This window comes from Homo sapiens, chromosome 9 (assembly GCF_000001405.40).
Source record: "Homo sapiens chromosome 9, GRCh38.p14 Primary Assembly".
NCBI lineage: Eukaryota > Metazoa > Chordata > Mammalia > Primates > Hominidae > Homo > Homo sapiens.
Genome location: NC_000009.12, coordinates 116,823,264 through 116,837,043, shown reverse-complemented (window position 1 = coordinate 116,837,043; position 13,780 = coordinate 116,823,264). Strand labels below are relative to the sequence as shown.

The window sequence follows — 13,780 nt, the reverse complement described above, 5'->3', positions numbered from 1 at the left end:
TCCAGTTGCACTTAGAATAAACTCCAGGTGCCTTAACATGGCTGAAGTCACGGGTCTTCAACTTTTTTGTATGAAGGATTATATAGTAAATATTTTAGGCTTTCCAGGTCACATGTGGTCTTTTTTTGTCTCATGTTCTTTTAAAAAAAAAATGTAAAAGCCATTCTTAGCTCTAGGGCTGTGCAAAAACAGGCTTTGGAGGAGTAGACACATTTTCTCTATTTTTCTGGCTAAATACAACCAAAAACCCTGGATGTCCTATATAAAACAAGCATAAGACTGAAAGGTGGAGCATTGCAGACCAGCTGAAGCCTTTGGGACCCAAGGAAAGACATGGTGGTCAGTTCCCTGGATTCTCTCTTTGCCTCATGTGTCCTATTCTTGGAGCTAAAGGAGCCTGCAGCTCAGAAATGCCAGTAGGTACATGTGAAGGAAAACAAAACAAAACAAAACAAAACAAAACAAAACAAAACTGCTCTCCCTAGCCAAAATACCGGGAAAAGGACAACCTAGCAAGACAGAAAAATGCTAGACAATAAGTGCTCTACTCCAGCCAAACACCACAGAAAATGAAAAAAATTAAAATGAACACACCCCTCCCCATGGGAGCAACGGTTGAATGGCGTGGGGAGCCAGGACTTTAATCTCAATGATAGATAGTGAGCACCCCCATCCCCTGGCCTATTCAGCATCAGTGAAGAGCATGGCCTTCCACCCCTAATCCATGACATTGAAGCACCTTCCCCCTTCCTGCTGGGTTGTTGTCAGGGAAGAACTAGTAGAAAGCCAGGACATTCACCACGGACCAGCATTCATGGGGCCACCTTCCACTCAGTGTGGTGTTAGTGGAGATTAAGGGGGGAACAGTGACTAGACATACCTACCACTCCCATCCAGGAAGAGATCCGTGAAGTCCTAGTGGGGAGGTGAATTCCTACCTCATCCAGCTGAAAAGAGGGGCCTTTGGGGTATCAGAGAAGGCCACATGGGGAACTGGGACTTCTTCATTCCCTTGTCAGTAACAAGGCCACTACCTTCCCCTGCTGGATGAGTGTCAGTAGAAGCCAGAGAAAATAGAAGGTTTGAAGGTCTATCTGGGTGCAGTGGCTCACACCTGTAATCCCAGCTATTCAGGAGGCTGAGGCTAGAGGATTGCTTAAGCCCAGGAGTTTGAGGCTATAGTGAGCTATGATTGTGCCACTGTACTCCAACCTGGGTGACGGAGAGAGAACCTCTCTCTAAAATAAATAAATACATGTCAATGAGAAGAGCCAAACTCTGTAAAATATTTGAAAAGATTTATTCTGAGCCAAATATGAGTGACCACGGCCTGTGACACAGCCCTCAGAAGGTCCTGAAAACATGTACCCAAGGTGGTCAGGGAGCAGCTTTGTTTTATACATTTTACAAATGCTTTTGGGGGCAGCGGGTTGTTGGTTCCAGACTATAGGGATATAGGGATGTTCTGGTTAAGATAAAGATTGTGGAGACCAAAGTTCCTTTGACGTCTTTTAGTGGCTGCCCTTAGAGACTATAGACAACAAATGTTTCCTATTCAGATTTTAGTTAATCTCTTTAGGATTGGGAGGGTCTGAAAGAAAAAGATGTAGCTATGTTAATAGACATTCTTTACAGATGCAAAATTTTCCCTACAAAGAACAGCTTTGCAGGGCCATTTCAAAATATGTCAAGAAACGTGTTTTGGGATAAAGTATTTTGCCTTTTCTTCCTTGTCTCATGTTATGCCAGAGCCAGATTGGAAAGTAAGTCACAATGTATAGGATTAAATAAACCCATCTGATGAGAATTTATGATTTGTAGGGCATGACTCCCCAGACCCCTCAGATAGTAATTTGGGCAAGAAAAAAATCAGAATTGGTCTTCATTAATATAATTAAGACCTGGAGTTGAAACATAATAATATAATGTAATGCCAGAAATGTTCAGGTCACATTAAATGTAAATAATTTCTGTTTTAGAAATTTTTTCTTATTTTTTGTGAAACAGCATTTTGCTCTGTCGTCTGGAGTATAGTAGCACAACCACAGCTCACTGCAGCCTCGACTTCTTAGGCTCAAGCGACCTTCCCACCTCAACATCCCAAGTAGCTGGGACTACAGGCACTTACCACAATACTTGGATAATTTTTACAATTTTTTGAAAAGATAGGATCTCACTATGTTGCCCAGGCCAGTCTCAAACTCCTGGCCTTAAGTGACCATCCTGCCTCAGCCTCCCAATGTGCTGGGATTACGGGCATAAGCCACTGTGCCCAGTCGCAAATAGTTTAAATACCAAAATTAAAAGGCATAAATTAGTGGAGTGGGTTTAAAAGCATGACCTAATTATATACTGTCTGCAAGAAATTCACATTGCTTATAATGATATAGACAGATTGAAAGTAAATGGATGGAAAAAGACACATGCAAATCAAACAAAAGTGAGAGTAGCTATATTAATAACAGATAAAGTAGGCCTTCCAAATAATTACCACAGAGGGACACCAAATAATTATAAAATATCATTTACCATGAAGACATAGAAATCCTAAATGTTTATGCATCAAACAACAGAACTGCAAAATGTGTGAGGTAAAATCTAACAGAACTGAAAGAAAAAATAGACAATTCTACAATGATGGTTGGATACTTCAATACCCCTTTCCAAAACCGATAGAAGAACTAGACAGGAGTTTAGCAACAATATAGAAGGACTCAATAACACCATCAACAAAAAAGATCTAGTTAACATTTATAGAACATTATGCCCAACAAAAATAGAACATATATTATTTTCAAGTGCCTACAGGACACATATCAAGACAAGACTATATCCTGGACCATAAAAAAAGCCTCAGCAAATTTTAAGATTCAAATTGTATGGAGTGTGTTCTCTGACCACGATAGAATCAAACAAGAAAGCAATAACAGAGCAATAACAGCTGCCTTCAGCAGCTGTGGACTGCTGTAGCAAAATAACATAAATTGGGTGCTTTGAACAACAGACTTATTTCTAACAGTTCTGGAGGCTGAAGTCTAAGATTGAGGTGCTGGCTAATTCGTTTTTTGGTGAAATTCCCTTTTCCTTGCTTGCCTTCTTTCTGTGTCCTCATGTGTTGGAGAGGGAGGGAACTCTGGTCTCCCATCCTCTTCTTGTGAGGTACTAATCACATTTATAAGGGCTTAACTCTTGTGACCTAATCACGTCCCCAAGGCTTCAACTGCGAATATCATCACTTTGCAGGTGGGTTAGGATTTCAACATACAAATCTTTGTGGGGACATAAATCTTCAGCCCATAATAGATATAACAGAAAAATCTTCAAATACTTAGAAAGTAAACAACATATTTCTGAATAATCAATGGGTCAAAGAAGAAGTCTCAAGGGAAATTAAAAAATGGACTGAACTAGATGAAATAAAAATACAATGTATCAAGTTGTGTGGGGGACACAGCTGAAGTCATGATTCATCCTTTTCTTTTAACATATCTGTGTCTTTATATTCAATGAGAAGGATGTGTATAGCCCTAAATGCATACATTAGAAAAGAGGAAGTTACAAATCAATAATCTAGGCTCCCACCTCAAGAACCTAGAAAAAAAAAAAAAGAGCAAAATAAATCCAAAGGAAGCCGAAGGAAGGAAATCAATGTGGTAGAAAACAGAAAAACAACGAAGTTAATGAAACAAAAAATTGATTATTTGAAAATGACAATAAAACTAAACAAACACAAGCAAGACTGAAAAGGAAGAGAGGAGAGAAAAAATAAATTACCACTATCTGAAACAGGTGATATCACCACAGACCTTGTGTAAATCAAAAGGATAATAAGGGAATGCTACAAATAATTTTACACACATAAACTTGATGAATTAGATGAAATGGACCAATTTCTTAAAAACACAAACTACCACAATTCGCCAATATGAAATAGATAATTTTGAAAGCCCTATAACTATTAAGGAAATTTATTTTGTCACTTTAGACTCCTCCTCCCCTCAGCTCCAAATCCCTGTCCTGGATAGTTTCACTGGAGAAATATACCAAATGTTTAAAGAAGAATAAACGTCAATTCCCAAAAAATAAATAAATAAATAAATAAAACAAAACAAAAAAAATCTTCCAGAAAATTAAAGAAGAGAGAATACTTCCCAAATCATTTTAAGACATTAGCATTATCTTGATACTAAAAGCAGACAAAGATAGTTCAAAAACAGAAAACTACAAAGTAAGACCAATAGCCCTCATGCATATACCACAGTTGTAAAAATCCTTAACAAAATATTAACAAATAGGATTCAACAATACATAAAAGATAACTATACACATAACTAAGTGGGGTTTATTACAGTGATGCAAGAATGGTTCCCTATTTGAAAATCTATCAGTATATTATAATAACAGGCAGAAGAAGAAAAATCACATCATCATATCAATGGATACAAGAAAAACATTTGACAAAATTCCATACCGAAAATGATTTTTAAAACTTTCAAAAAAAAAATAAGAATAGAAGAGAACTTACTCAACTTGACGAAGAACATCAATAAAAGAGCTACAGCTGACATATTTATGGTGAAAGACTGAATACTTTCTCCAAAAGGTCAGAGACAAGAAAAGCAGATTCACTCTGCCCACTGTTATTCAACATCGTGTGGGAAGTCCTAGCCAGTGCAATAACAGGGAAAAAAAAAATCAAAAAAGGAAGAAGGCATTCAGATAAGAAAGGAAGAAATAAGACTATAAGACTTACCCATTGGCAGATCACATGATTTTTTTACATAGAAAATCTCAGGGAATCTACAAAATAAATTTCTAGAAGCAATTAGTAAGTTTGGCAAGGTCTCAGAATACAAGAAAAATATACAACATCAATTGTATTCCTATATACTAGCAATGAACATGTGAACATTTGAAATAAAAAATACAATCCCATTTGCAATTTCTGAAAAATAATGAAATATTCAGATGTGAATCTGACAAAATATATAAAAAATACAGTATCATTTGCAATCCCTAAAAAGTAATGAAATACTCAGATGCAAATCTGACAAAATATGCATGGGCCACGTTTAGCTTTAGTAAAACTTTAAAATACTCGTGAAAGAAATCAAAGAAGATCTAATCACAAGGAAAGATATACGTATTCACGAATTGGATAGCACAAGATAATAAAGATGTCCACATGCCTCGAATTGATATAAAGGTTTAATATAATTCCTATCAAAACCTCGGCATGATTTTTATAAGTATAGACAAGATTTTTCTGGAATTTAAACGAACGGCAAAGGAACTATAATGGCCAAAACTTCTTTTGAAAAAGAAGGCTAAAGTGGAAGAAGTCTGTCTACCCTATTTTTAAGCTAAATTTATGCTGCTTTCACCCCATCCTCGTTAACTTTTTATCATATTATACTTTTATCTTTATTCATTTTTTTACTCTACAAAATAATCATTTTGTTTGTTTACTTGTTAATTATTTGTCTCTTCTCTAGAATGTAAATTCTATGAGAGAAAGGTCTTGTCTGTCTTGTTTACTACTACATTTTCAGCTCCTAAAACATTTGCTTAGCACTGAGTAGGTAGGTGTTTGGTGAATATTTGTTAAATGTTCTAAAGAAGGACTTAGACATATGGAAAAGAAAAAATCAGCTAATAGTTTCAGTTACCTTTATTTATATTTTTATTTTTATATATTTAGGGGGTATAAGCAGGTCTCTTTCATGCATACATTGTGTAGTAGTGAAGTTTGAGCTTTTATTATACCCATCACCTGAATAGTGAACGTTGTACCCAATCAGTAGTACTTTGTCAACCCTCATACTCTTCCCACCCTTCCATTCTCCCACCTTTTGTAGTCTCCAGTGTTTGTCATTGCACTCTGTACGTGCAGGTGTACCGATTGTTTAGCTCCCACTTACAAGTGAGAACATGTCATATTTGACTTTCCGTTTCTGAGTTATTTAACTTATGATAAAGGCCTCCAGTTCTATCCATGTTGCTGCAAAAGACATGATTTCATTCTTTTTTATGCCCTAGTAGTATTCCATGGTGTGTCTGTGGGTGGGTGGGGAGAAGGGAGGGGTAGGAGTGTATACCACATTTTCTTTATTCAATCAACTCTTGATAGACATTCAGGTTAATTCCGTATTTTTGCTATTATGAAATAGCACTCGTATGTTATTATTGTTGCAGTAAACATATGAGGGCTGGTATCTTTCTTTTTTTCTTCTTCTTCTTTTTTTTTTTTTTGACATAGGGTCTCACTCTGTTGCCCAGGCTGGAGTGCAGTGGCGCGATCTTGGCTCACTGTGACCTCCGCCTCCTGGGTTCAAGTGATTCTCCCACCTCAACCTCCTGAGTAGCTGGGAGTATAGGCATTTGCCACCATGCCTGGCTAATTTTTGTACTTTTAGTAGAGACAGGGTTTCACCATGTTGGCCAGGCTGGTCTCAAACTCCTGGCCTCTAGTGATCCACCTGCCTAGACCTCCCAAAGTGCTGGGATTACAGGCTTGAGCCACCGTGACCGACCTAATGTAATTAATGATTTTTTCTCTTTGGGTTTATACCCAATAGTGGGATTGCTGGATTGAATGGTAGTTCTGTTTTTAGTTCTTTAAAAAAAAACCTTCATACTGTCTTCCTTAAAGGTTGTGCTCATTTACATTCCATAAGTGTTCCTTTTTCTCCACAGCCTCACCAGCATCTGTTGTTTTTTGACTTTTTAATAGTAGCCATTCTGACTGGTGTGAGATGGTATCTCACTGTGGTTTTGATTTGCATCTCTCTGCTGAATAGTAATGTTGAACATTTTTTCATATGTTTGTGGGTCACTCTTATGTCTTCTTTTAAGAAGTGTCTGTTTATGTCTTTTGCCCAATTTTTAATGGGGTTATTTGTTTTTGCTTGTTGCATTATTTAAGTTCCTTATGGTCTCTGGATATTTGACCTTTGTCGAGTGCACAATCTGTGAATATTTTCTCCCATTCTGTAGGTTGTCTGTTTACTCTGTTGATAGTTTCTTTTGCTGTGTAGCTCTTTAGTTTAATTGGATCTGAGGACTTAGTCACAAATTCTTTCCCAAGGCCAAGGTCCAAAATGGTGTTTTCTAGGTTTTCTTTTAGGATTTTTATAGTTTCAGGTCTTAATCCATTTTGAGGTTTTTAAAAAATATGTGGCGAGAAATATGAGTCCAGTTTCATTCTTCTGTGTATGGCTATCCAATTTTTCAGTACCATTTATTGACCAGTGATATGATTTGGATTTGTGTTCCCACCCAAATTTCATGTTGAATTGTAATCCCCAGTATTGGAGGAGGGGCTTGGTAGGAGGTGATTGTATCATGGGGGCAGATTTTCCCCTTGCTGTTCTTGCAATAGTGAGTTCTCATGAGATCTGGTTGTTTGAAAGTGTGTAACACTTCTCATTTTGCTCTCTTTCTCCTGCTCCCAGCAATGTGAAGACGTGCCTCTTTCCTCTTCATGATTATAAGTTTCCTGACACCTCCCCAGCCATGCCTCCTGTACAGCCTCTGAAACCATAAGCCAATTAAACCTCTTTTATTTATAAATTACCCAGTCTCAGGTATTTCTTTATAGTAGTGTGATAACGGACTAATACAACTGGAGTATCATTTTACCAGTGTGTACTTTTGTTGACTTTGTCAAAGATCATTTGGTTGTAGGTATGTGGCTTTATTTCTGGGTTCTCCATTCTATTCCATTGATCTAGTTGCCTATTTTTATACCAATACCATGGTTTTGTGGTTACTATGCCTTGTACTATAATTTGAAGTCAGATAATGTGATTTTCTAGCTTCGTTCATTTTGCTTGAGATTGCTTTGGTTATTTGGGGTCTGTTCTAGTTACAGATGAATTTTAGGATTTTTTTTCTAATGCTTTGAAAAATGATGTTGGTAATTGGATAGGGATTGGATTGAATCTGCAGATTGCTTTGGGCAATATAATCCTTTTAAACATATTGATTATCCAATTCATGAGCATGGGATGTTTCTCTGTGTATTTATGTCATCTACAATTTATTTCATCAGTGTTTTGTTATTATTTTTATAGAGATCTTTCACCTCCTTGTTAAATATATTCCTAGATATTTTATTTTTGTGGCTATTGTAAATGGATTGCTTTCTTAATTTGGTTCTCAGCTAGATTGGTGTATAGAAATGCTACTGATTTCTGCATCTTATTTTTTATCTTGAAACTTGATAGAGTCTTTAGGGATTTTTAGATATAAGACAATACTATCAGCAAACAGGGATAATTTGACTTCTTCTTTTCCAGCTTGGATAACTTTTAATTTTTCTGTGTCCTGACTTCTTTGGTGAGAACTTCCAGTGCTATGTTGAATAAGAGTGTTGAAAGGGGATGTCTTTGTCTTGTTCTAGTTCTTAGAGGAAATGCTTTTTTTTCCCCAGTAAGATAATGGCTGTGGGTCATGGCCTTTACTATGTTGAGGTGTGTATTTTCAATGATTACTCTGTTGAGGATTTTTTTTATCATCAAAGGATGTTGAATTTTATTGAATGCTTTTTTTTCTGTATCTATGGAGATTATTGTATGGCTTTTTTCCTGAATTCTGTTTATGTGATGTATCACGTTTATTGATTTGCATAGTTGAATCCTCATTACATCACAGGGATAAATTCCACCTGATGATGTCATGGTGTACTATCTTTCTGATGTGCTGTTGGATTCGACTTGCTAGTATTTTTTTTTTTTTTTTTGAGACGGAGTCTCGCTCTGTTGCCCAGGCTAGAGTGCATGCAGTGGCATGATCTTGGCTCACTGCAACCTCCACCTCCCGGGTTCAAGCAATTCTCCTGCCTCAGCCTCCCGAATAGCTGGGATTATAGGCGTGTGCCACCATGCCCAGCTAATTTTTTTGTATTTTTAGTAGAGACAGGGTTTCACCATGCTGGCCAGGCTGGTCTCAAACTCCTGACCTAGTGATCTGCCTGCCTCAGCCTCCCAAAGTGCTGGGCTTACAGGCGTGAGCCACTGTGCCCGGCCTTTTGCTAGTATTTTGTTAAGCAAAATACTAACATCTATATTCATCAGGGATATTAGTGTATAGTTTTCTTTTTCGTTGTTGTTATTTCCTTGTATGGTTTTGGTATCAGGGTGATACTGGCCTGATAGAATGAGTTAGAAAGAATTTCCTCTTCCTCATTTTTTTGGGATTGTTTCAGGAAAATTGGTGTTAGTTTTCTTTGGATGTTTGGTAGAAGTCAGCTGTGAATTCATCCAGTCCTTGGCTTTTTCTGTTGTTATTGAGAGATATTTTTTATTATTGATTCAATCTCAGTAGTCATTATTGTTCGGTTCAGGAGTTCTGTTTCTTCCTGGTTCAATCTCCATAGGTTTTGTGTAGTCAGGAATATATTCATTTTTTTCTAAGTTCTCTGGTTTGTGAACATAATAGTCTTCATAATAGTCTCTGATGATCTTTTGTATTTCCGTGGCATCAGTTGTAGTGTCTGTTTTTATATTTCTGGTTGTATTTATTTGAGTCTTCTCTCTTTTCTTGCTAGTGGCTTACTAATTTTGTTTAGCATTTCAAAAAATTATTTTTTCATTTCATTGATCCTTTGCATTGCTTTTTGGGTCTATTTCATTTATTTCTGCTCTGATCTTTGTTATTTCTTTTCTCCTGCTTACTTTGGGTGTGGTTTGTTCTTGTATTTCTAGTTCTTTTTTTTTTTTTTTTTTTTGGGGGGGATGGAGTTTTGCTCTTGTTGCCCAGGCTGGAGTGCAGTGGCGCAATCCTGGCTCATTGCAACCTCCGCCTCCTGGGTTCAAGAGATTCTCTTGCCTCAGCCTCCCAAGTAGCTGAGATTACAGGCATGCACCACCGCACCCGGCTAATTTTGTATTTTTAATAGAGACGGGTTTTCTCCATGTTGCTCAGGCTGGTCTCGAACTCCCGACCTTAGGTGATCCGCCCACCTCAGCCTCCCAAAGTGCTGGGATTACAAGCATGAGCCACCACTCCCAGCCATATTTCTAGTTCTTTCAGGTGTGATATTAGGTTGTTAATTTGTGATAATTTTTTGATGTAGGCATTTAATGCTATAAACTTTCCTCTTAGCACTGATTTTGCTGTATAATACACATGTTGAGATACTGTGTTTTCATTATCACACAGTTGTTAGTTGAGATTGTGGTGAAGTTAAGCTGGGACCTTGAATACAAAGTGAGCCAGTCTTCACACCTGATAGTGGCAGCAGTGGGGTGAGTGTGCCTGGTTTTAGGCCCCGAAGTAGCTTACACTGGCTTCAGTGTTAGTAGGTTTTTGAGGGCTGATTCTTGGGCCATTAGTTGGCTTGCTTAGAAGCTAGTAGTGGGAGCAGTGGGCCTGATGTATGGGTAGATTTTGGGGCCCCTGGGAAGCTAGTGTAGTGTGGCTGATGGCAGTAATGATGGTGGTAGAGCAACCCACTGGGACTCAAGCAACCCGTGTTGGTCTTGCTGGGAGCTGTGATGGGTTGGGCGGGCTAGTCCCCAGTCTCGCAGCCACCCATAGCAGGGTGGTGGGTATTGTCCTGAGTGTGCTTAGGAGAGTGTGGTGTACTCTGTCCCTCTCCCAGCAGGGTGGTGGCTGCAGCCATGTTACCTCAAACTCGGCCCCAAGCCTGGGACATAGTCCAGCATTAAATGCTCAGCATGGTGCCAGCTGTGGGCTGTGACCAGAAAGGATGGGGTCCTTCTCAGGTGAGCCACATTGGCAAGAAGCTGTGGTGAGTGTGGCCCACTTGAGTCTTGGTCTCACAGCAGCCCCTTGCAGGGCAGTGGGTATTGTCCTAGATATGCATAGGATAGCCTGGTCTCCCTGTCCCTCCTTGACTGGGTGGCAGCTGCAGCCACATCAACCCAAACTCATGCCAATGGTAGGGTGCAGCTCAGCATTAAACTGTCAAAAACGGTGCTTTGGGCCTGATACCAGAGAAGGCAGAGTCCATCTCAGGCAAGAAAGGTGAGCAAGAAGCTGTGGGAAGTACAGTCTATCCATGTCTCAGTCTCAATAGCAGCCTGCAGCAGGGCAGTAAGGAGCTTCCTGGGGATGTGTGGGAGCACCCAGTCTTCCCTCTCCCTCTTTAGAACAGGGCAGCAGCAGCCATATCTGTAGATCCCCAGTATTTTGGCTCTCAAAATAGTGCCCAGCTGTGTCTACTCCAGGTTCAGATGCCTGTGGGATTTTATTTGGGTTCTCATTCTGTGGCAATGGTTTTATGCAAACTTTAGGCACTTCGTATGTCAGGCCAAAGGCCCCAGTAGGTTGAGAGTTTCTCTCACAGCCAAGGTGTAAAACCCCATTTTGGAACCCTGGGGGTTTCTCTCTTACTGTTTCCCCACATCTGGGAGCCCCTTCCAGCTCTCAGTTGGTTTCTGACTGGAAAAGCTGCCTCAAAGTCTCTGCTTACTTACTTCTGGTGCTTCTCATTTCTCCCCTGTTGAATCCTAGCATTCTCTTCTAGACAATCTGTTTGGAATGTGTGTATCTACTTATTATTCTGGTTCCTCTCCATGGAGGAGGGACATACTACCTGCATCTAGTCAGACATCGTGATTCCTCCCAACTAGGCTAGTTTTTCTTTTGGGGTTTTGGTTAATTTATTACTTGTTTATATATCCCTATTCAATTATTCTTCATTTATTAGGTGTCTATTATGTACCAGGTCTAAAGCCAGATACTTTAGAAGTGTTTTCTCATACAGTCTTCAGAAGTGCCTCCAAGAGAGACATTATTTGCATTCTACAGATGAGGAACCTGAGGCTGTCTCTGAGGTGAAGCATCCTGCCTATATGCTCAGTGTCACAAATCTTTCCTTGGAATTCAGGCCTGACTTTAGTCCTCATATTCTTGTCTCCAAACTGGCTCCTCTATTTATAGAAAGAAAACAGTCCCAAATAGTTTCAAGGACTTGTCCAAGGTCACGAGGCAAGCAAGTGACAGTGCCTGGTAATGAATTCTAGTCTTCCTCTTCTAGTACATTAGATGTCTCTTTTCTCTTCCTGTAGGAACTTCCTTCCTACAGGATTCCCTTCCTAGAGGAGGAGAAAAGACTAAAACCTCCCTGTTTCAATATTGCCTAGTTTGCAGAGTTTTTATTTTCCCAAACAAATTTTACCATACTTTTTTATGTTTGTTCTATAACTAACGTTCTCTGATAGATGTGTATATTTATCTCTCAAACCAGATTCTAAGCTCTTTACAAATACCTATAACAGCAGAACTATTTGTTGATCACTGTGCTAAGTACTGCATACATTTATTTCACTATATTAGTTAGCTATTGCTGTGTAACAAATTATCTCAAAAATCAAGTCACTTAAAACAAAAAGTATTTATTATCCCACACAATTTTTAAGGGTCAGAAATTCAAAAGCAGCTTCTATGTGTGGTTCTGGCCTACCTCTACAAAGTCTCAGTCAAAATGTCACCTGGGGTTGCCAATATCTGAACAGGCTTGATTGGGGCTGGATAGTGTATTTGCAGGCTCACTCATGTTTTGCTGGCAGGCCCCAGCCTTACTGGCTGTTGGCCAGAGGTGTTACTTCCTTGCCACATAAGACTCTCCATAGGGCTGCTGAAAACATGGCAGCTTGCTTTCACTAGAGCAAGTGATGAGAGAGAGAGAGACAGACAGAGGGAGAGAAAGATCTCTCTTATGATCTACCTTTAGAAGCCACATACCTCCTCTTCTGCCACATACTATTGGTCACATAGACCAATTCTGGTGCAGTGTAGGAGGGGACTACATGAGTCTTAATACCAGAAGGCAGGAATCACTGGGGACCATCTTTGAAGCTGGCTACCGTACTATTTACCCATCACAGTAATCACGTGAAGATAGGAGACTTTATGTCACTGCCTGAAGGTTATACAACTTATAAGAAGTAGTGTGGATTCAGATCCAAAGTTAATACACAGATACACTAAATGTCATTTCTAGCACTCCACCAATTCGTTCAGCAAATAACAAGTACCAACTGTGTGCCAGATGGCTTAGGACAAGCCACATGGTCCATACTATTATAACATTTACATTTTGGTGGAGGAGACAGACAGTAAGCAACAAACTAATTGAAATACTAATAATATACAAGTAATTTCAAACGATGGCTAGATCTCATCTGCCCCTACTCATCCTCAAAGGCACAGTACCTGAAGTCCATGATAGAGGAAGGAATGATGGTAACTGGTAAACCCACTTCATGTACTTAGGAAGCCTTTCCCACAGGCGTGGATCAAATCTTGCCTTTAATTTGCTGTGTGATGTTGGTCAAGTACCCTCACCTTTCTGATCCTCAGTTTCCCATCAGCAAATCATCTTGGGGAGAGAGACTATAGGATATGTAAGTTTGCAAAATGCTTTAACCTGAAGGGAAGTGAGTGTAGTGGACAGAGAACACCAAGCTGGGGCAAGGGAAGCCTGGCTTCACGTTCTTCGCTCATGTGCTGAGGAATATGGGGTGATGTCCTTTAACTTTCTGGGCGTCACTTCTAAAGTAAGGAGGTTAGATCAGCTCTAAGCCCTGCCTTATTCTAACTTCCTAAAACTAGATGTCAGTCAGCCAGTAAATAACAGGACTTCCTACAACTAGATGTCAGTCAGTCAGTAAATGACAGGACTTCTTAAAACTAGAGATCAGTCAGTCAGTAAATGACAGGGTGGTGAAGTGGCTTGCCCATTAGGCAGCTAATAGCAACAAAGTTGGGAAGCCTGAGAAGCTCTGCCTCTGTCACCACCAAACTGTGT

At 39.3% G+C, this 13,780-nt stretch overlaps 1 protein-coding gene across 3 annotated transcripts in view; it reads left to right on the top strand.

Moving 5' to 3' along the window:
• The window catches only part of ASTN2 (astrotactin 2), a 991,946-nt gene that overhangs the window by 578,014 nt on the left and 400,152 nt on the right, over positions 1 to 13,780 (top strand). The gene's annotated exons all lie outside the window — the stretch shown is intronic.